Here is a 21,391-nt window from a genome sequence, read left to right as displayed (position 1 = left end):
CTTTTCTTTTCTTTTCTTTTCTTTTCTCTTCTCTTCTCTTGTCTTCTCTTCTTTTCTCTTCTTTTCTCCTCTCCCCTCCCCTCCCCTCCCCTCTCCTCTCCTCTCCTTTCCTTGTTTTAGAGACAGTGTCTTGCTCTGTTGACCAGGCTGGAATGCAGTTCTGTGATCTTAGCTCCCTTCAGACTCAAACTCCTGGGCTCAAGCGATCCTCCCGCCTCATCCTCCAGAGTAGTTGGGATGACAGGTGTGTGTCACTATGCTGGCAAATTTTAAACATTTTTTTTTCTTGTAGAGAAGGGGTCTTGCTATGTTGCCAGGGTGGTCTCGAATTCCTGGCCTTAAGCATCCTCCTGCCTTAGCCTCCCAATATGTTGGGATTACAGGTGTGAGGCACAGTACCTGGTCAAGACTTTTTTTTTGATGGTAAAAACAGTGATATACCTTTTACATGGGTTCCATTTGGAGGTAACAGGATTCCTTCCTTTGCTTCAGACTCATTGCAATAGCAAGCTAGAAACTTACACTTTCAAGTAGCTGCTGCTTCTTTGGAGGTGCCAAACAGAGCCAGAGAAGGTTCTAGAAGAGTTAATTGTAACCACTTCCCTCCCCCATCAAACGTCCCCTCCAAGCCATAGTGTCTCACTGGTTCATGGGAGAAAGAGTCTGGTGTGGCCAACAACTGGCTTGAGGGGCATGTGGAGCTTTCTGCATATTTTATCAGGGCACTTGGCATCAGAAGCTCTCACAGAAGGCTGGAGGGAGCCAGGGGGCAGGGTGTCTGGGTGGGCACTGGCTGGGCTGTCCCTCAGTGTGTCCATGTGGAGCCTACACACCCCACATGTGATTGTGGGCATATTCTCTCTATCTTTTTTCTTGCTACCTGTCATCTTTAAAAGCCAGTTTTTGCCTTTATATTTATTTATACTCCTTCTACCGCCATAAAAGATCTGAGGTTGCTTACGATTTCATAGCAGATGCAGTAAAACCTGAAGCCATTAGCAGAAAGGTAGAAAGATCAGAGCCAAGTAAAAAGGAGGAGGGGGAGGAATAAGGAGATTAATTATACCAGAGGGGAAAAAAAGCTTAGATTAAGGAAAGAGAATGCAATTGAGAACAAAACCCAGCTCCTAACTCCCTGGTAGCTTGGTGGGCGGCTGCCAGCAACTGTAATCACTATAGATTATTGCACCTCAAAGGCAGGTTTAAATGCCTTCGCGTACTCCCTGGCAGAGTGAGCTTGGTCAAGCCACTTCAGCTCTCTGAATTTCTATTTCCTCATCTGTAAAATGAGGATTAAGTGAACTCATCATCAGGTTCTTGTGAGAATTCAGTTCAACAGCAATGACAGACAGTAGCTCTCACTCTCATAGCAGGTGCTGTGTGCCAACGACTGTTCTGTGTGTTTCACACAGAGATCACTAATCAATTCTAAGATGCATTTTCCCTACATTTTAAACATCTCTGACACTGATAAAAAAGGCACCATGTCACTGATCATTTAACAGCAGTTGTTTTCTTTCTTTGTTGGACCTAAAATAACAGCGCATTGCAGATGAGATGAAATATGTTATTAACTCATGAAAGCCTCATAATGTAACTTTATGAGGTAGGTACTATTTTTGTCCCATTTTGTAGATGAGGAGACTGAGGCATGGAACATTTAAATGCCTTGTCCAACACTAGCTGTCAAGCAGTGGAGCTGGGATTGAAATTCTCGTAGGCTGTTTGACTCCACCAGTTCACTATTCAGCCTTTCACACAAAACCAACTTTCCTTCCTTCCTTCCTTCCTTCTTTGGTTCGTTCCTTCCTTAGTTCCTTCTCTTTCTTTTCTCTTCTCTTCTCTTCTGTTTTCTTTTCTTTTGAGACAAGATCTTACTCTGTCACCCAGGCTGGAGTGCAGTGGTGTGCTCACAGCTCACTGCACCCTTGACCTCTCAGGCCCAATTGATCCTCTCACCTGACCCTCTTGAGTCAATGGGGCTACAGGAGCATGCCAATATGCCCAGCTAATGTTTTTATTTTTTGTAGATATGGGGTTTCACCCTGTTGCCCAGGCTGGTCTCAAACTCCTGGGCTCAAGCAATTCCCCCTCCTCGGCCTCACAAAGTGCTGAGATTACAGGCATGAACCACCACACAGTCTGGGCCAACAAAACTTTCAACAAAAAACATTTCAGCTAAACTTGCACTATTGAGCCCTGGCGATATAAGATGAAAAGATATGTACTTGCCGTAAAGGATTGGACTCTCTAGTGAGGGGACCAACGTGTAAACAAGCCATAATATCTCAGGGCATTAATATTTCTGTGGAAATATTAGATTCAAGGCATAGAGGCAGAGAAGGGAGAGTTAATTGATTTCTCTCAAGCGTTGGCCCTAGGGCTTAGCTCTGCAGTGGGAAATATCCCTCCAACAGGTCATGAGCTACTTTAGTGAACACGTTCTTCACAGCAGAGAACCAAAGGCCCGGGCACCTCACCTATGGCCCTTTCTTCTGTGGATGAGAGGAGAGCTGGGAGTAGCAAATCTTGAGGGAATATCAGGCTCTCAGGTAACATTTGTAAGTGAGCTTTGAGACAGACACCAGCGGGAGAGCTCTGCCTTGTAAGGTGAGGGCTAGAGGCTTTCTGATTCTGGACACCGAGGCCAGGAGGGTGGGGAAATCAGGGAAGAACCTAAAAGGGGGAAAAATACATGGCCTCTAAACCACCTGTTTAGAGTGAGAAAATGCAGCTTCCAGAGGAATGGGGCAATAGTCACTGGGACGCAGTGAGGGGTGGTGGAAGAAGAAGCAGGAGAATCCCCCAGTTTGAGACCCAGTTTTGCCTCTTAGGAGCACATCATCCTTTGAGTCTCAATTTTATCATCTGTCTAATGGGCATAGTAACATTGCGCTTATCTACCTCCCACAGTTGTTAAAAGATTAATTAAGATAATATATGTGAAAGTGCCTCCAGGTGTGGTGGCTCACGCCTGTAATCCCAGCACTTTGGGAGGCCGAGGCAGGTGGATCACGAGGTCAAGAGATCGAGACCATCCTGGCCAACATGGTGAAACCCCATTTCTTCTAAAAATACAAAAATTAGCTGGGTGTGGTGGCGTGCACCTGTAGTCTCAGCTACTCAGGAGGCTGAGGCAAGAGAATCGCTTGAACCCGGGAGGCGGAGGTTGCAGTGAACTGAGATTGAGCCACTGCACTCCAGCCTGGCGACAGAGCAAGACTCTGTCAAAAAAAAAAAAAAAAAAAAAAAAAAAGAAAAGAAAAGAAAAGAAAGTCCTTTCCAAATGAAATGATGGGATGGAATGCATGGTCTTTCTAGCCAGGGCCTGGCTCTGTGTGCTTGGGTAAGTTACCACAGGGAAAAAAAGAGGAATGCCGGGAACAGGGCTTGCCTACAGTCTCTGGCAGTCACTAAAGGGGCCTGACTTAGAACTCAAAGCTCCTGCAGGGTGGGAGTCTCACTGATCTCCCCTCCATCCCCACTCCCCACTTAGTGAGGAAGTTTGGGGGCTGATGTAGAAGGTCGCTCCTCCTAGAGGTCAGGGACTGTGTCCTATGGGACTTGAACAAAACAAAACCAAAGCAAATCCATTTTGACAGAACATCCTTGATAAAGAATGTTTTCTAATATTTCAAACAGAATAAAACCTCTGTTTTAATATTAATCACATTTGGTCTAGCATCTTCCAGACCAAACAAGAATAGGACAGAAACTGCACCGAGCCTGAGTCCCTGGCCTTAAGCGTGGGTGTCTGTGGACCCTGTTCATTGTAGTGCTGTCTATAGGAGAGAGGGGTTTGCTGTAAAGGCCCCACCTCCAAGTCCAAGGGGGTCCTGGTCTGAAGGCTTCACAGCCTACAGCCTGGGGGAAGAAGGGTGGCTGTCAGGGAGGAGGGGGCTGCTGTGGACGGGCCACTACTCCAGGGACATTAGGAGCTGACTCCACCTTTTCTGGCCTCTCCTGTGAGGGAGAAGGAAGGAGGAAGTGGGAGGAGAAAGAGGGGGAGAAGGAAGGGGCCTGAGAACTGGGAAGTATAATACAAAAAGAAGGGACTGAACAGAGGGAGCAGCCAGGCCCAGTGGCTCACGCCTGTAATCCCAGCACTTTGGGAGGCCAAGGTTAGAGGATCCCTTGAGCCCAGGAGTTTGAGACCAGCCTGGGCAACATAATGAGACCCAGTCTCTAATTTTTTTTTAAAAATTAGAAAATTTTATATATATGTATTATATATGTATATATAATACATATATGTTTTCATATATATGTATTATATATGAATATATATTAATATATGTAGTATATATGTATATATAATATAAATATAATATATATAATATATATTTTGATATATATTATATGTATAATACATATTTTGATATATATTATATATATAATACATATATACATATATAATACACACACACATACATATGGAGAGAGAGAGAGAGGGAGGAAGTGAGGAGAAGGGGGAGAAAGTGAGGTGGAGGAGGCTGACTCAGCACAGGAGGTCAGAACAAAGTAGCCATTTTGCACATCAAGGGCCTGGAATCTCCCCCACCTCCTCCAGGCCCTTTCTGCAGCCCCATCTCAGGATCCCCCATTCCTCCTTATTCCTCAACCTTCTGAGGGATGCGAGGCCTTCCGAGCAGGGGCTGCCTTCCTTGGCAGCAGACAAAAGGCCATTTCTGAGTTACAGAAAATGTGTTCCTTTGCTACAGAGCCGGGTGAGGGCTGCCCGGGCCGGTCCTGGGCCAGGCGGGAGTCTTAGCAGAGGGGGCCTGTCAGTCACCAGGAGCCCTCGTGAAAGGGGCCCCTTGTCAACTTCCCCTGCCTTTGAAGTGACTAGGATGGCGTGCTCAATTAAAAGCCCATCAGTCTGTAAGTAAATCAACGCCTATCAGGCTTGTCACATCAAACAAACGATTATTACCCCAGCCCGCCCACCCCATTAATCTGGCTGTTCCTTCTTGACGGCTCAGGGTCAGGGCAGCGTAAATCCTGTACTGGATTGCAGCCACCTGGATTGGGATGAAAGCGGTGGCGCAACCTGCAAGGCCACACTCAGGCACTTCCCAGAGTCCCCAGGAAGGAGGGAGGATGGAGGAGAACGCTCCCGGAGACAGAGACAGGAGAGGCGCCTGCAGACAGGGCCATGTGAAGCACCTGGAACAGAAAGAAATGAAGGAGACAGAGAGAAAAGTGGTGGAAAGAGAAAGAGCTGGGAAAATGGACCAAGATAGAAATAATTGGAAGCGGAGAACCAAAGTTGTTGAGGCAGGTGACATAAGAACTCACTCAGAATGTTGTGAATGAGTGAATGTAGGCCCCCAGAAGACAAGGAGGTCTGGGGATGAAATCTCCCTGATACTAGGTTCTGAGTCTCAGAGTCAGAGAGTGATGAGGCCAGGCCAATGTCAGCACCCCTGACCTCACTTAGCCTTGGGGGTGTTGGTGGGAGGCAGAGTTCAGGGCTTTGCTAAGCAATGCCTTGTATCAGACATCAACATGTGTGATGGCCAGAACTTGATCTTCTGCAATCAAAGGATATGAACAGACACATCAGGCCAGATGATCAAGTTCTGATTTTCTGCTGCACGAGCCCCTGAGAAGCACTTTGCTCCAGATCATTTCTCCTGGGCTCTGTGTATTGGTTTGGAGATTTTTTCTGCTCCTGTGATTAGGCTTCTGGCTTTCCCCGCTGAGGACCAGAGAAAAAGGCAGGAGTAGAGAGAAGAGGAAGCAAGACAGCTTGAAGGAGAGGCTAGGGTGGGAAGGGAAGGGTGGAGAGGAGGGGGAGGAAGGAAGTCAAGCATCTGTCCTGGAAGAACAACGCATGCTTTTTAAGGGAAGAGAACAGTCTTTCCCCAAGAGGCGGTTCCAGATGACTCGTGATGTTCTATCCTTAAAAAGGCCGTCACATGCCTTCCCCATCGCCAAAGAGACAGGAGTGGAGCAGGGAGACTGAGGACGGGAACTTCTTCCACCCACCTGACCCCGGAGCTCCACTTGCTCAGCCTGACAGACACAGCTGAACTTTCACTAGTCGAGGAAAGAACATTCTCGCTAGGCTTAAGAGGCCAAGCTTAGGAGTATTGCTTGAGGCCAGGAATTTGAGACCAGTCTGGTCAACACAGTGAGACCCTGTCTCTACAAAATTAAAAAAAAAATTAGCCAAGTGTGGTGGTGCACCTGTGGTCCCAGCCATTTAAGAGGCTGAGGCAGGAGGATGGCTTGAGCCTAGGAGTTGGAGGCTGCAGTGAGCTGCACTCCACCCTGGACAACAGAGCGAGACTCTATCTCAGAAAAAAAAAAAGACGAAAAAAGAAAATTCTCAAAGATACTGAAGACATTTACCCTCATCCCTATCCTCCCTGTGCAAGGTAAGAACCGCTCACCGCAAACCTGGGAGACTTGCACCTGCCGCATACATGGGCTTTCTCAAAATGATTCTCCCTCCAGCCTGCTGTCCACTCCAGCATTGTAGACACCTTCTTCTCTTATCAGGACCCAGCAGTATAGTGCCTTTTCCTTATCCCTCTGAGTTGGTAGACATGTCGACTCATTCCAGTGTCAGCAAGGCCTTTCACAGAGATAAGTCTTGGTCTACAGATATTTTACAAACTGCCAGAATTATCTGTCATTCCTGCTTTCATTCATTGAACCAAAACTTGGTACTGAGTGAGCACTTACAACTTACAGGCTCTTTTCTAAATCTCAGGGTTACAGCAGTGAATATGACGGGCAAGGCCAAGGGATATGTGGGAGGTTTTGCAAAGACCTTGGATGTTTGACGTCATCTTTATTTATTTGTCATGTATGGATTCAGCTATTTCACAGATATTACACAGATATTTCCTCAGCACCTACCATGTCTAAGTAACATGCCCCACAAGAAAGCGAAGAAGAATCAGAAACAAATGCTATCTTCCTGGGGGAGAAATAAGCCACAGATCATGAAAAACTCAAGGGCATTTATAAAGTCGTAGGTGATCCATCCTGGCTACCATGGTGAAACCCCGTCTCTACTAAAAATACAAAAAATTAGCTGGGCGTGGTGGTGGGCACCTGTAGTCCCAGCTGCTCAGGAGGCTGAGGCGGGAGAATGGCGTGAACCCGGGAGGCAGAGGTTGCAGTGAGCCGAGATTGCGCCACTGCACTCCAGCCTGGACGATAGAGTGAGACTCCGTCTCAAAAAAAAAAAAAAAAAAAAAAAAAGTCGTGGGTGCCATAAGCCAGAAAAGGATGGAAGATAATTCAGAGAGAGAAGATAATTTATCCAGGTTATTTCTTAGTTTGTTTGTTTATTTATTAATTTTGAGAGGGAGTCTCATTCTGTCACCCAGGCTGGAGTGCTGTGCTGTGATCTCGGCCCACTGCAACCTCTGCCTCCCTGGTTTATGCGATTCTCCTGTGTCAGCCTCCCCAGTAGCTAGGATTACAGGCGCACGCCACCACTCCAGGCTAATTTTTATATCTTTAACAGAGACGGGGTTTCGCCATGTTGGCCAGGCTGGTCTTGAACTCCTGACCTCAGGTGATCCACCCGCCTCGGCTTCCCAAAGTGCTGGGATTACAAACGGGAGTCACCATGCCTGGCTGACCCAGGTTATTTCTTAGTGAAGATCTGGAATTAAAAAACCTGTTAATTGTTTAATCATAGCAACTTTTTAATATACTCTGTGATATAGAACAATGAGGGCTCAATGTTTATTATGATAGTTATTGTCAGTGATGACAACGTAATTCATTGTCATTGTAATTACAGACATGTCACAAGCCCCTCTCTCTATGGACACCCTGCAACTCCATTTCAGTCCTCTTTGGAAGTCAGGGGCATGGTGGAAAATTCCCAGAAATGGGAGCTGTGCTCCTTAAAAGAGGCAGAGTGGTGCAGAGGTAGAGCGAGTAGGCTCTGAAACCAAACAGCCATTCAAAAGCAGGCTTCAAATGCTGGCTCGACTGCTTGCCTGCTGTGAGGCCACCAGCAAATCACTTGAACTCCCTGTGTGTGTTTCCCCATCTGTTAAATTGGGGTGATAACAGTACCGGCCTCATAGGGTTATATGACAATTAAATGCATGTAAAGCATTCACAACTGTGCCCAACAGACAGTATGCATTCAATAATGCCTGTCATGCTTATGGCCCTACGTCATACAAAGTGGTCTCTTGAAGGTACAATCAGCATGATGTTAGGAGGGCACTTATTAAATTAATGCAATTGTCTTCATGTATTTAAACATCAGTGAGAGTCATTTATATTCATTTTACTTTTAAAATTCTTCTGGAGTTCAGTACATGCGTGGTAAATATTTGAAGAATTTGTTTTTTACTAATATAATGTGTTTGTTAGCACTTAATATTTGATGCATACAAAAGGGTGTATGCATTGTATATATAAATGTTAGCCTCTCCTCTTCTGTCTTCTGGTCTCTGCTCCAGAAATGGCCACTTTCTGGAATTTTATTTTATTTTATTTTTTTTGAGAAGGAGTTTCACTCTTGTTGACCAAACTGGAGTGCAGTGGTGTAATCTCGGCTCACTGCAACCTCTGCCTCTCGGGTTCAAGCGATTCTCCTGCCTCAGCCTCCCGAGTAGCTGGGATTACAGGCGCCTGCCACCACTCCCGGCTAATTTTTGTATTTTTAGTAGAGACGGGGTTTCACCATGTTGGCCAGGATGGTCTCGAACTCCTGACCTCGTGATCCACCCGCCTCAGCCTCCCAAAGTGTTGGGATTACACGCATAAGCCACGATGTCTGCCCTAATTTTTGTATTTTTAGTAGAGATGAAGTTTCACCATGTTGGCCAGGCTGGTCTCGAGCTCCTGACTTCAGGTGATCCACCTGCCTCAGCCTCCTGAAATACTGGGATTATAGCCGTGAGCCACTGCGCCCAGCTACTTTCTGGAATTTTATGTTTATTTTCCTTTTGCTTTTTTAAAAAAGCTTCATTTAAAAAATTAAAGTACAACATACATAATAATAAACTGCACAGATTTTAAGTGTACAGCTCAACTAATTTTTACACTCTATACACTTATGTAACCACATCTGGATTAAGTCATGGAATATTATTTGTACTCTAGAAATGTCCCTTCCCAGTCAATCCTCCCTCCACCCCCATCCCAAGGTAACCACTGTTCTGATACATGTCAGTGTAGATTAGTTTTGGAATTCTTAGGTATGTACTCTTGTCTTTTGGGCAGCATTCTATTTGCAAGATTCCTCCGTGTTGTTGTATGCATCAGTAGCTCATTCTTTTTTGTGGTTGAGGAGTATTCCACTGTAGAATAAACCATGCAATTTGTTCACTCATGTTATTATTCATGGGCATTTGTGCTGTGTCTATTTTCTGGCTATTATTAAGAAACCTGCCATGAACTCTCCTGTCCACATCTTTTGGGGCACATATTTACTCATTAATGTTGGATATAACAGGAGTGTAATTGCTATGTCACCACTTAGGTACATGTTATAATAGATACTTCAAACAGTTTTCCAATATTTGGTATTGTTAGTTGAAAAACACCTTCAGCCATATTGGTAGTTGTCATGGGCTATAGTGGGCTATACATTTCCCTTTGTCTCTATTTTAGTTGGATTCAATACTTCTTTTTTTTTTTTTTTTTTGAGACAAGGTTTCTTGCTGTAGCCCAGGCTGGAGTCCAGTGGCATGAACACTGCTCACTGCAGCCTTGATCTCCCGGGTCTAAGTGATTCTCCCACCTCAGCCTCCTGAGTAGCTGGGACTACAGGCGTGCACCACTATAACCTAGCTAATTTTTGTATTTTTTGTAGAGATGGGGTTTTGCTTTTTGCTGTTGGCTGGGCTGGTCTTGAACTCCTGGGCTCAAGTGATCTTCTCACCTTGGCCTCCCAAAGTGCTGGGATTACAGAAGTGAGCCACCATTCCTGGCTGTAGTTGCATCCAATAACTCGTGATATGTTATTTTCATTGCCATTCAGTTCAAAATATTTTCTGATTTCCATATACATATATTGCAAATATTTTCTCCCATTCTGTGACTTGCCTTTTCTTGTTATTAGTGGTATTTTTTTTGTTAACTAGAAGCTTGATATTTTAATGAGTTTTTTTCACTTTTACTCATGCATATTTAGAAAAGTATATTCCTTAATTTCTGAATATCTGGGGATTTCCTAGTTATCTTTCTGTTTTGCACTTCTTGCTCAATTTCATTGTCATCAGAGAATATCCTTAGAATTACTTCAGTACTTTAAAATTTACTTAGGTATGTTAACATTTCCAACAGTACTTGTGGATCTGAATTTTTCTCCCTTAGTTCTGTCAGTTTTTGCTTTATTTATTTTGAGGCTACGTTATTATGTGTATACAAAGTTAGACTTGCAATTTTTTTTTTAATTGAATTGATCCCTTTATTGTTAGGAAATATCATTCAGTAAAACTGCTTGCCTTAAAGTTTACTTTGTCTGATATTTGTCTAGCTACACAAGCTTTCTTTTGATTGTTTGCTTGATGTATCTTTTTCATCCTTTTAGCTTCAACTTTTTCCATTTTTGTGCTGCTGCATAACCAACCACCCCAAAACTTAGTGGCATAAACCAACAAACAATTTGTTATGCTCATAGGTATTGTGGGTGAGGAATTTGGACAGAGCTTAGCAGGGACACTTTATATCTGTTCTACATTGTCTGGAGTCTTAGCTGGAAAGATGTGAATGATTGGGGGCTAGAATCTGGAGACTTCTTCAATCACATGTCTGTTACCTGTACTGGGCTAACTTGAGACTGGACTCAGCTAGGACTGTTGATTGTAGTGCCTACTTGGACTTCCTTATAAAATGGCAGACTTGAGTAGTCAGATTTCTCACACAGTGGCTCAGAGCTCCAAAAGTGACTTTCACCAAACAAGGCATAAATTGCATAGACTTTTACGCTCTTGCCTCAAAAGTCCCGCAGTGTTACTTCTTCTGTACTCTATTGGTTGAAGGAACCACATGCCCACACAGATTGGGGAAGGGAGACAGACCCCATCTCTTAATGAGAGGGGTGCCAAAGGATTTGTGGCTATGTTTTAAAACTGCCACACAACTTTTCTTTTCATATCCTTATATTTGAGGTTTATTTTTATCCAGTCTCACAATCTTTGTCTTTTAATTGGCATCTTTGGACCACTTATATTTAATTACTGACACTATGATTTAAACCCATCATCTTACAATTTACTTTCTATTTGTTCTATGTGGTTTTTTTTTGTTAATTTTTCCCCTTTCTCTCCTTCTTTGGATTATTCATGCATTTAAAAAATGATTCCACTTCCCTACTCTAAAGCTTGTTAACTGTACATTCTTTTATTGTTCTTTGGTGATTACCCTAGAATTTGCCTGCCATCTTTGCTCAAGGGGCCATGCTAATCTTCTCTGTATTCTTCCCATTTTAGTGTATATGTTGCCAAAGTGAACACGATGATTAGCCTAGAGATTGCAACATGTATCATTATTTTATTATAACCTATCTTAAATTACTAGAATTGGCATCCATGTCCATTGGTTCCATATCTGTGGATTCAACCAAGCTTTGATCAAAAATATTTGGGGAAAATAATGGATGATTACATCTGTACTGAACATGTACAGACTTTTCTCTTGTTATTATTCCCTAAGCAATTCAGTAAAACAACTATTTACATAGCATTTACAGTGTATTAGGTATTATAAGTAATCTAGAGATGATTTAAATTATATGGAAGGATGTGTGTAGGTTATAGGCAAATACTATGCCATTTTATGTAAGGGACTTGAACATCTGTGGATTTTGGTGTCTGTGGGAAGTCCTGGATCAAATCCCTAATAGATACAGAGGAACAACTGTACATGTCATATCCTGGACAATGCAAGAAACTCACAACACTTTAACTCCATTTACCCTTCTCATACATTTTGTGCTATTGTTAACATATATTTAAGTCTCTCTATATTTTGAACTCTGTAAGACATCAGTGTTATTGTTTTATGTAGTAAATATTAATTTAGAAATTTTACTTTTTTGGTGCTGTTTATTTCTTCTTTTTTTAAATTTATTTTTATTTTTATTTTTTTAATACAGTCTCGCTCTGTCACCCGGGCTGGAGTGCAGTCACATGATCTCGGCTCACTGCAACTTCCACTTCCTAGATTCAAGTGATTCTTGTGCCTCAGCCTCCCCAGTAGCTGGGACTATAGGCATGCGTTGCCACGTCCTGCTAATTTTTGTATTTTTGGTAGAGACGGGGTCTCACTATGTTGGCCAGGCTGGTCTAGAGCTTCTGACCTCAGGTGATCTGCCCGCCTTGGCCTCCCAAGGTGCTGAGATTACAGGTGTGAGCCACCGCGCCTAGCCTGTTTATTCCATCTTGCATTACTGCTTTCATCTGGGATTATCTTCTGCCTGAAAAAATTCTTCCAGTATTTCTTTGAATGTAGCTATGCCAACAATAAGTTCTCTCAGTTTTTGTTTGCCCTAAAATGTCTTTACTATGCCTTCACTTTTGAAGGATATTTTCACTGAGTATAGCATTTTAAGTTGGTAATTATTTTCTTTCAGCACTTTAACAATTTTTTTAATCCATTTTTTCTCTTGCTTAGCTGTCAGTTTTATTGTCGCTCTTTTGAAAACAATGTGGGTTTTTCCCTCTGGTTGCTTTTAAGATTTTTCCGTTTTTTGTTTTCAGCAGTTTATCTGTGATATAGCTATGTGTGTGTGTATGTGTGTGTGTATGTGTGTGTGTGTGTGTTTGTGTCTGCTTGCATGAGGAGAAATTCTTTACACTGTAGCTTGATGTTTTTCATCATTTTTGGAAAACTCTCAGCCAGTATTTGTTTAAAAATTGGTTCTATCCCATTCTTCTCTCCATCTGGGTCCCAATTACAAATATGTTAGATGTTTTTAACCATGCCCCTATATCAATTACTTTTTTTTTTTTTTTTGAGATTGAGTCTCACTCTGTTGCCTAGGCTAGAATGCAGTTGCACAATCTCGGCTCACTGCAACCTTTGCTACCCGGTTCAAGTGATTCTCCTGCCTTAGCCTCCCGAGTAGCTGGGATTATAGGTACTCACCACCATGCCCAGCTAATTTTTATATTTTTAGTAGAGACAGGGTTTTGCCATGTTAGCCAGGGTGGTCTCAAACTCTTGACTTCAATGGATTTGCCCACCTTGGCCTCCCAAAGTGCTGGGATTACAGGTGTGAGCCACCGTGACTGGCCAATTACGTTTTTTCCCCCATTTTTCATTCTTTTGTCTCTGTTCTTTACTATCTTGTCTTGGCTATGTCTAATTTGCTATGGAACCCATCTATTCAATTTTTAATTTCAGTAGTTTTATTTTATTAATTCTAAGATTTTCATTTGACTTTTTTTTTTTTTTTTTTTTTGAGACAGAGTCTCACCTTGTCACCCAAGCTGGATTTCAATGGCACGATCTCGGCTCACTGCAACCTCCGCCTCCCAGGTTTAAGCGATTCTCTTGCCTCAGCTTCCCAAGTACCTGGGATTACAGGCACAAGCCACCACGCCTGGCTAATTTTTTGTATCTTTAGTAGAGACGAGGTTTCACCATGTTGGCCAGGCTGGTCTCGAACTCCTGACCTCATGATCCACCCGCCTTCGCCTGACTTTTTTTTTTTCTTTAAGCAGACTCCAGTTCTTTGGTAAAATTCTCTGTCCTTTCTTTTATTTCCTTGAACATATTAATAATAGTTATTTAAAAGTCTCTGTTTAATAACTCCAATATCTGCATCACTTTTTTTTCTATTGTTTTTCCCCTCTTGGTTTTTAGTTATTTGATCCTATTTCTTGGCATGCCTAGTAATTTTCAATTGAGATCTAGACATCACGTGTGAAAAATTTTATTCTCTAGCTATCTTCCTTCAAAGGTTATTACATTTTCTTATGGCAGGGAAATAGGGTATTCTCAATTTCATGCTGATGCAATTGAGGATAGGTCTAGGGGCTTTGTTAGGGTTCTTCTACCTCTAACTGTGCCTAGGGGATATTCCAAGATTCCTAAGGATAATCTTCCTTACTTCTGGAGCTTAACTCTCTTCTAGGGGCACAGTTCTTTAGCGATCTCAACTAAAATCCTCAAGTATTTTCCAAGTTCCTTCCCCATTGATGGGCATTGAACTCCAACCTCTGACTCCCTAGCCTAATGAGATTTCTGCAAGCCTCTCTGTTACTCTGCCTTCAGCCTTTATTGCTCCACATCATAAAATGGCAAGTAACATAAAGGAAAAATCAGAGCCAAATGTATGGCTTACCTCACTTCCTTTATCTGTGTACTCTTGGCCCCACCAGTCCTGCCAAACTCTCTTGCTCTCTGATGCTTTTGCACAATTGTTTTATGTATTTAATCTAAACATTACAGTTGTTATCAGTGGAATGGTTGTTTAATATTCCCACACTTAAAAAATAGTTTATCACATGTACATGTTTGTATAAGCAATTTCTTGCTCTTGATATTTATAAAAAATGATTGCTACAAACTGCAGAAAAAATATTTAAAAATAAAAGAAATGGTATCATATTGTTTATTAGTTTTGTACTGCTGTATCACAAATTGTCACCAAATCTGGTGGCCTCAGACAATAAATATTGATTTTACAACTTTTCATGGATCATGAACTTGGCAGTGGCTTAGCTGTGGATCATGAACTTGGAAGTGGTTCTGGCTTGGGATTTTTCATGGGGTTGAGGTCAAGATGTTGGTAGGGGCTACAGTCATCTGAAGGCTTGACTAGGGATGGGGGATCTTCTTCTAAGGTGGCACACTCATGTGGCTGGCAAGTTGTTTTTAGATATTGGCAGGAAGACCAAGTTCTTCTCCATGTGGGCCTCTCTGCAGGCTGCTTAAAGGTCTTGAGGACTAGTGATTGGCTTCTCTTCTCTCTCTCTCTCTCTTTCTCTCATTCTTTCCTTCTCTCCTTCTCTCTCTCTCTCTCTCTGTTTCTTTCTTTCTTCGAGGGTGTCTCACTCTGTCACCCAGGCTGGAGTGCAGTGGTAGCATCTCAGCTCACTGCAACCTCTGCCTCTTGGGTTCAAGCAATTCTCCTGCCTCAGCCTCCTAAGTAGCTGGGATTACAGGCACCTGCCATCACACCTGGCTAATTTTTGTATTTTAGTAGAGACGGGGTTTCACCATGTTGGCCAGGCTGGTCTCAAACTCCTGAGTTCAAGTGATCTGCCTGCCTCAGCCTCCCAAAGTGCTGGATTACAGGCGTGCATGAGCTACTGCATCTGGTCGTGATTGGCTTTTCTAGAACAAATGATACAAGACAGTAAGGCAGAAGTGGCAATATCTTTTTTTGATTTAGTTATGGAAGTAACATACCATCACTTTTTCCATGTTCAATAGGGCGGCGCGGTGGTTCATGCTAAAGAGCAGTTTGGGAGGCCAAGACTGGTGGTTCATTTGAGGCCAGGAGTTCAAGACCAGCCTGGCCAACATGGTGAAACCCTGTCTCTACTAAAAATACAAAAATTAGCCAGGCGTGGTGGCATGTGTCTGTAGTTCCAGCTACTTGGTAGGCTGAGGCAGGAGAATCGCTTGAACCTGGGAAGTGGAAGTTGTAGCGAGAGGAGATTGTGTCACGGCACCTCCAGCCTGGGCAGCAGAGTGAAACCCTGTCTGGGGGGAAAAAAAATGTCACTACACGAGGTATGGTGGCTCACACCTGTAATTCTGATGCTTTGGGAGGCTGAGGTGGGAGGATTGTGTGAGTCCAATAGTTTGAGACCAGACTGACCAACATAGTGAGAGTTTGTCTCTACAAAAAATTAAAAAGAAAGAAAGAAAAGAAATGAGTCACTAAATCTGGCCCACATTTAAGAAAAGGGAAATTAGTCTCCATCTTTGGAATGGTAGGGTGTCAAAAAATTTACAAACACCTCTAAAAATTACCACATATTGTATGTAGATTTCTGGGATTTGGTTTTTCAACCAACATTATGTTTCTAAGCTTCCTCCATGTTGTTGCAAGCAGTTATAATTCATCTATTTTTATGACTGTATAATATTCCACAGTATGAATGGATCACAACTTCTCCCATTGTCTTGTTGATGGTCATATGGTTTGTAGAATCATTTTAAAGGAAATAATTCATCTTAAGCTTCTTGAAATCATTTCAAATAATTAATTCTGTGGTTAATTTGAGCCTAAAAATCAAGCCAGTACAATGAGTTCGGACTACACTGGTAATGGACATTTCAATGGTGTAGGTACTAGAACGTGCTATGAATAGTCTTTCCCTATTATGCCTTATTCTGTATCCCCCAAGAAGACCATTAACATTTCAGAGCTATTTGTTTGCAGTTGTTTCGGCCATGGAGGTAAGTAGCTGGTCTCGCAATGGGGACACAAAAATCAGGAACTGGGCTGGACCAGTTCATTCTCCATAGAGTGAAATGGAGGCAGCATGATAAGACCAGGTTGAGTTAGTCTTTCCCTTGCAAGCCATGGATAAGATTGGACTCAAAACAGAGCAAGCTGGTGCTTGTGTGTGTTTATAGTTTCCTGGGAAACAATTCCAGCTCTACAGCCCATGTCTATCATCTGAAGTCCTTGAGACAATCACTCAAAGTGGCTGAGTGCCACTCGCTGTTTTGCTGGCGCATGAGCATCGGCAGAGGAAGCAGTGTGGGGAAGTGGAAAGAACACAAACTGCATTCAGACTGACCTGGGTTTGAATCCTGGCTTTGACACTTACTAGATTTTTACAATGCACAATTTACTTAACTTCTTTCATCTCCAGTTTTCTCATCTGCCAAATGGGCATGTGCTATGGTTTGAATTTTGTTACCTCCAAAACTCACGTTGAAATTTAATCCCCAATGAGGGACTATTAAGAAGTGGTGATTGAGTCATGAAGGCTCTACCTTCATGAGTGGAGGAGTCCATTCATGGATTAATGATTTAATGGGTTACCATGAAAGTGAGGCTGGTGGCTTTATAAGAAGAGGAAGAGAGACCTGAGCGAACATGCTCAGCCTCCTCAGGACCCTGCAGAGAATTCCCGCCAGCAAGAAGGCCCTCACCAGATGTACCCCCCTTTACCTTATACTTCTCATCCTCCACGACTTTAAGAAATAAATTCCCTTTCTTTATAAATTATTCAGTTTTTGGTGTTCTGTTATAAACAATATAAAACGGACTAAGTCATCATGCTGGTACCTTCCTTACTGGTTTCTTGTGAGGATTATATGCCAGATTGTATTGAAGATGCCTAGGATGATGCCTGGCAGTATTAGATACTCAATAAAAGACAGCTTTGTGTCATTGTCATCATCATGAGTGTCACCCTGCTTTGGAGATAAGTATGACTCTAGGCCTCTCAGGGGGTCCTGAAATCTTTGCTATTCTGCTATTCAGCGTGGCAGGTTTGTGTCCTTGTGCAAATCACTAAGTTATTGCTGTTTCCCAAGGCTTGGCCATTGAGTTAGGGATTTTTTTCTTAAAGAGGGAAGGGGAAGGGTTCTATCTAATTAGGAATACAGCAGTCAGATTTAGGTCAAGGCCTGCTGTAACCTATAGGCAAATGGTTATGGACTGACAATCAATTTGAAAAGGAAGACAGGTTATATAGCAATCTGCACCAGGGAGACCCATACATAGCAAAAGATTCTCATCAGTGCTACAGGGCTTAAAGCTGTCATTGAATTTAGCTGACTTTTAAATGCATTAATAGATGATGTACCCATGGGATAAGAAGAAGACAGCCAGCTTAGGGAGCCTATTAGGTCATAGGGAGATCAGTTAATGGTGGGCCATCAGTTTCGTTTTGTGCTTTAGTTCAAGCTAGAGGTTCTGATCAATCAGTTTCTTATGTGACTCTTGTTCATTTGTTGGTTATTTATTTAACATTTATGAAACATCTCCATGTGCCTAGTACACTGTGTTAAGTGCTGTGGGGGATACAGGAAGATCTATCTATCTATCTATCTATCTATCTATCTATCTATCTATCTATCCATCCGTCCATCCATATATCTATCTATCCATACTCTACTTACTATCTATCTATCCATCCATACATCCATCCACCCATCAACTATCTATCCATGCACTATCTTGCTATTTACACAAACACACCACTCCAAGGAGCATTGAGTTCAATGAGTTCCTTTATATGGTTTATATATGTGAAAGCAGCTATAAAACAATAAATAAAGTTGATGAGGTCATAAGGCCATCAGAGATATGCCAGTTAAATTTTACAGGACTTCAGGAGATAGAGAAAGTATTACCTGTAGGTGGATTGCATGAAGCCTCCTGGCTGGTCTTGCTGCTTCTAATCCCACTCTTCTCCATTTAATTCTGCATGTCATTGCTGCTCTAATCACTTCAAAACACTAATTTCAGCATATCCTGCTTTTTTTCAAGACTCCGAATTTTCTGTTTCCAACTGTGCTGATTTCAAAGTCCCTTTCAGATTGTTCTATTATCTCTACCTCTTTAGATATGATTTCTTCCTTTTTTGGAGATAGGGATGAGGGTGATGTGGGGTTTATAAGTTGCTTGCCCTGGTTTTGGACTTCCTCATGTATTTTGTGATTTTGGCATGAGTGCATCTCCCCTGGGAATGTTGTTTGTGGAAATTGTTTTCCTGTTCATGTCTTGTGTTGTGGAGGCCTGCCTATGGGGCAACCGTGCTTGCCTCAGCCTAGGGCCTATGGGTTTCTGCACTGAGGGTTAACTTGAATTAGGGTTTTCACCTTGAGAGGCAAAGGACTCCTACACATGGCCTTTGAGCTGTACCCTGAGCTGATGAACAAGGACATTCTAGTTCCTGTTTATGGATAGCCTAAGCTCTACTAGTTTCTGGTTTCATTTAGTGAACCTAGCTTATGTTGTAAAGCCATAGGGCCTGTGACCTTGACTTGGCATGAAAACCTCAGGCCTTGTGGCTTCTGTTTTATTGATGTCCTGGGGGTTATATGCCGATAACTCCTTAAATCTGCATTTCTAGTCCTAACTGACCCCTGGTCAAATCCCAGAGCTGTAGGTGCCTAGATCCAACTGCCTGTTTGTCACCTGCATTTAGCTATCTTATGGCCATCTCAGATTTAACACGGTCAAAACAGGACTACTGATTTGTTACTATATATGTTAAACACACCTCCATGACATATATATATGTATAAACACCTATAAGTGCCTGTTATATACAAATCAGCCTCATGGCTGCTATCTCGTGTATGCTTTATCTGTGTCTACATTACAGCTGTATGGATCTATGTACCACACAGCGTGTATGTGTATGTAAAGCATAGCTACCCTGATTAACCCAGATATGCTTTGCCTAAGATATTCCAACAATCTCAAGATTTACAAGAAAGTGCTTTTTAGATAACAGTAGCCCTGACACTAAGTGCCTCCCTCTTTATTACTGCATTCAGTTATCCCTTCCTTTCTTGTAAGCTCTGGTCCTGCTTCACTTCAGACAGAAGAGGAAGCAACTTTCACAGCTTTGCCCCAAATCCAGAGTTTTGAAAAGTGTCATCCACCAATAACATGCATCAAGATCAGCCAGGGTACTTGTTAACAAGAGTGTTTCTCAGACTCTCCAAAGCTAAACTTTCTGGGGATAGAGCCCAGACCTGTCTATTTTTAACAAGTTCTTCAGGCTATTCCTAAGTGCACTGTGGTTTGGGAATCACTGTTGGAATCCTTTTTCTCCTTTGGCAGAAATCCAAATCCTCCTCCTTCATCTAAAATATTTATGGAAGAGACCATTCTGAGAAGCCCAGGAAAGAGGGAGATGACTCATAGCCACCCCTTCCCATGCCAACATTGCCTGGAGAGCCAGGGGGACCTGGTTGGGCCACATTGAGTGCCTGTTTACATCTTGCTGAGCTGTTGCATTGGGCCATACTTGAACTTTCCAGAACAACAATTGCTACTTTAAAACATTTCTCGGTGATTTTTGTCTTGTTGGTCTAAACACATACAATTCAGAAGAGGATGATGAAGCTTAGATATCTTTATAGGTTGGCCAACTGTCCTGGTTTGCTTGGGACAGAGAGGTTTTCTGGGATGCAACAGGGCCAAGACCAGGAAAGTTCTGAGCCAACCAAGATGAGTTGATCACCCTAGCAAACATGTCTTGCAAACCAGTTTATGAATTGAAACTAAATACATTAGAAAATAATAGTTTTGAAATCTACATGGGTTATAAAATAAGAAGGAAGACTAGTTTGGGATTAAGTATATTTTGGGATAGTTCAGATTTGTGGCAAAGGATCGAACAGTTCATGATGCTGAAGGATGGGAGGTTTCTCGCATCCTTTAATAAAGGCTTTGTATCCACTGTGTTGCATGGGTGGCCACTCTTTAAGTTGTGTTGTGTTTGACAACAATGATGGAAGGTGAAGGATGCTTATTTCACAGCTCTGAGAGGAGGCTGCCTTTTCGTTTTTCTCTTCTCTTCTCTTTTCTTTTCTTTCCTTTTTTTTTTGAGGTGGAGTCTCACTCTGTAGCCCAGGCTGGAGTGCAGTGGCATGGTCTTGGCTCACTGCAGCCTCCACCTTCCAGGCTCAAGCGATTCTCTTGCCTCAGCCTTCATAGTAGTTGGGACGACAGGCACACGCCACCACTCCTGGCTAATTTTTAAAAAAATTTTTATTTTAGTAGATACGGGTTTCCACCATGTTGCCCAGGGAGGTCTCAGACTCCTGAGCTCAGGCAATTCACCCGCTTCGGCCTCCCAAAGTGTTGGGATTACAGGCATGAGCCACCACACCTGGCCGAGGCTGTCTTTTCTGACCTATCAGTGGGTTGAGATCTTGTTGCATATTCCCAGGTTGTATTGAGAGCACATAAAGTATCCTCCCTGTTGGGGGAGGAAGAGGTGGTGGATGGCACTCACACTCTCTACTCAGCACTCTGTGGTAAGATTTGGTGGCTGGGGTTTTTTCTGTTGTCCCTTTCAGCATCTTTTCCAGCACAGTTGACTTATCTGCTCAGCAGGCAGGGCAGTGCCTAGTGCCCATAATACTTTTAAGGATCCGGGGAAATGCTTTAGTTTCCTTAAAATGATGACGAAAAAATCTTTTAGGTTGAAGGGAATGTTTTTGTGCATAGCATTAATACATTCATCTTTATACCAAGTGCAATCATAAAATGCTTTTTAATACAACATTTATTTATTTAATTGTTTTGAGATGGAGGTCTTGTCATGTTACCCAGGCTGGACTTGAACTTCTGGGCTGAACCTCCTGAGTAGCTGGGACTACAGATGCGTACCACCACACCCGGCCCGGCATGATATAAACACTTAAACAAAAATTTTAATAAGGATTAGTTTTTGTTCATAGGGAGAAGGGCCCATGAGGGCAAGTGCCTAGGTTTCATAAAAGTCATAATGGAAGCCCA

General features: G+C 42.6%; 1 pseudogene, besides 2 other annotated features; it reads right to left on the bottom strand.

The window, feature by feature from the left end:
• Positions 4,162–4,662: an enhancer, noted in NCBI's record as "NANOG-H3K27ac hESC enhancer chr8:37533201-37533701 (GRCh37/hg19 assembly coordinates)". NCBI's record gives its function as "activates a minimal SCP1, AML or CMV promoter by ChIP-STARR-seq in primed H9 embryonic stem cells {active_cell/tissue: H9 hESC(primed)}" and the evidence as "EXISTENCE:reporter gene assay evidence [ECO:0000049][PMID:30033119]".
• Positions 4,663–5,163: an enhancer, noted in NCBI's record as "NANOG-H3K27ac hESC enhancer chr8:37532700-37533200 (GRCh37/hg19 assembly coordinates)". NCBI's record gives its function as "activates a minimal SCP1, AML or CMV promoter by ChIP-STARR-seq in primed H9 embryonic stem cells {active_cell/tissue: H9 hESC(primed)}" and the evidence as "EXISTENCE:reporter gene assay evidence [ECO:0000049][PMID:30033119]".
• On the bottom strand, positions 11,340–11,447 carry RNU6-607P (RNA, U6 small nuclear 607, pseudogene; annotated as a pseudogene).

This window comes from Homo sapiens, chromosome 8 (genome assembly GCF_000001405.40).
Source record: "Homo sapiens chromosome 8, GRCh38.p14 Primary Assembly".
Classification (NCBI taxonomy): Eukaryota; Metazoa; Chordata; class Mammalia; order Primates; family Hominidae; genus Homo; species Homo sapiens.
The sequence above is the reverse complement of the archived record's forward strand: the minus strand, read 5'-3'. Positions and strand labels throughout refer to the sequence as shown.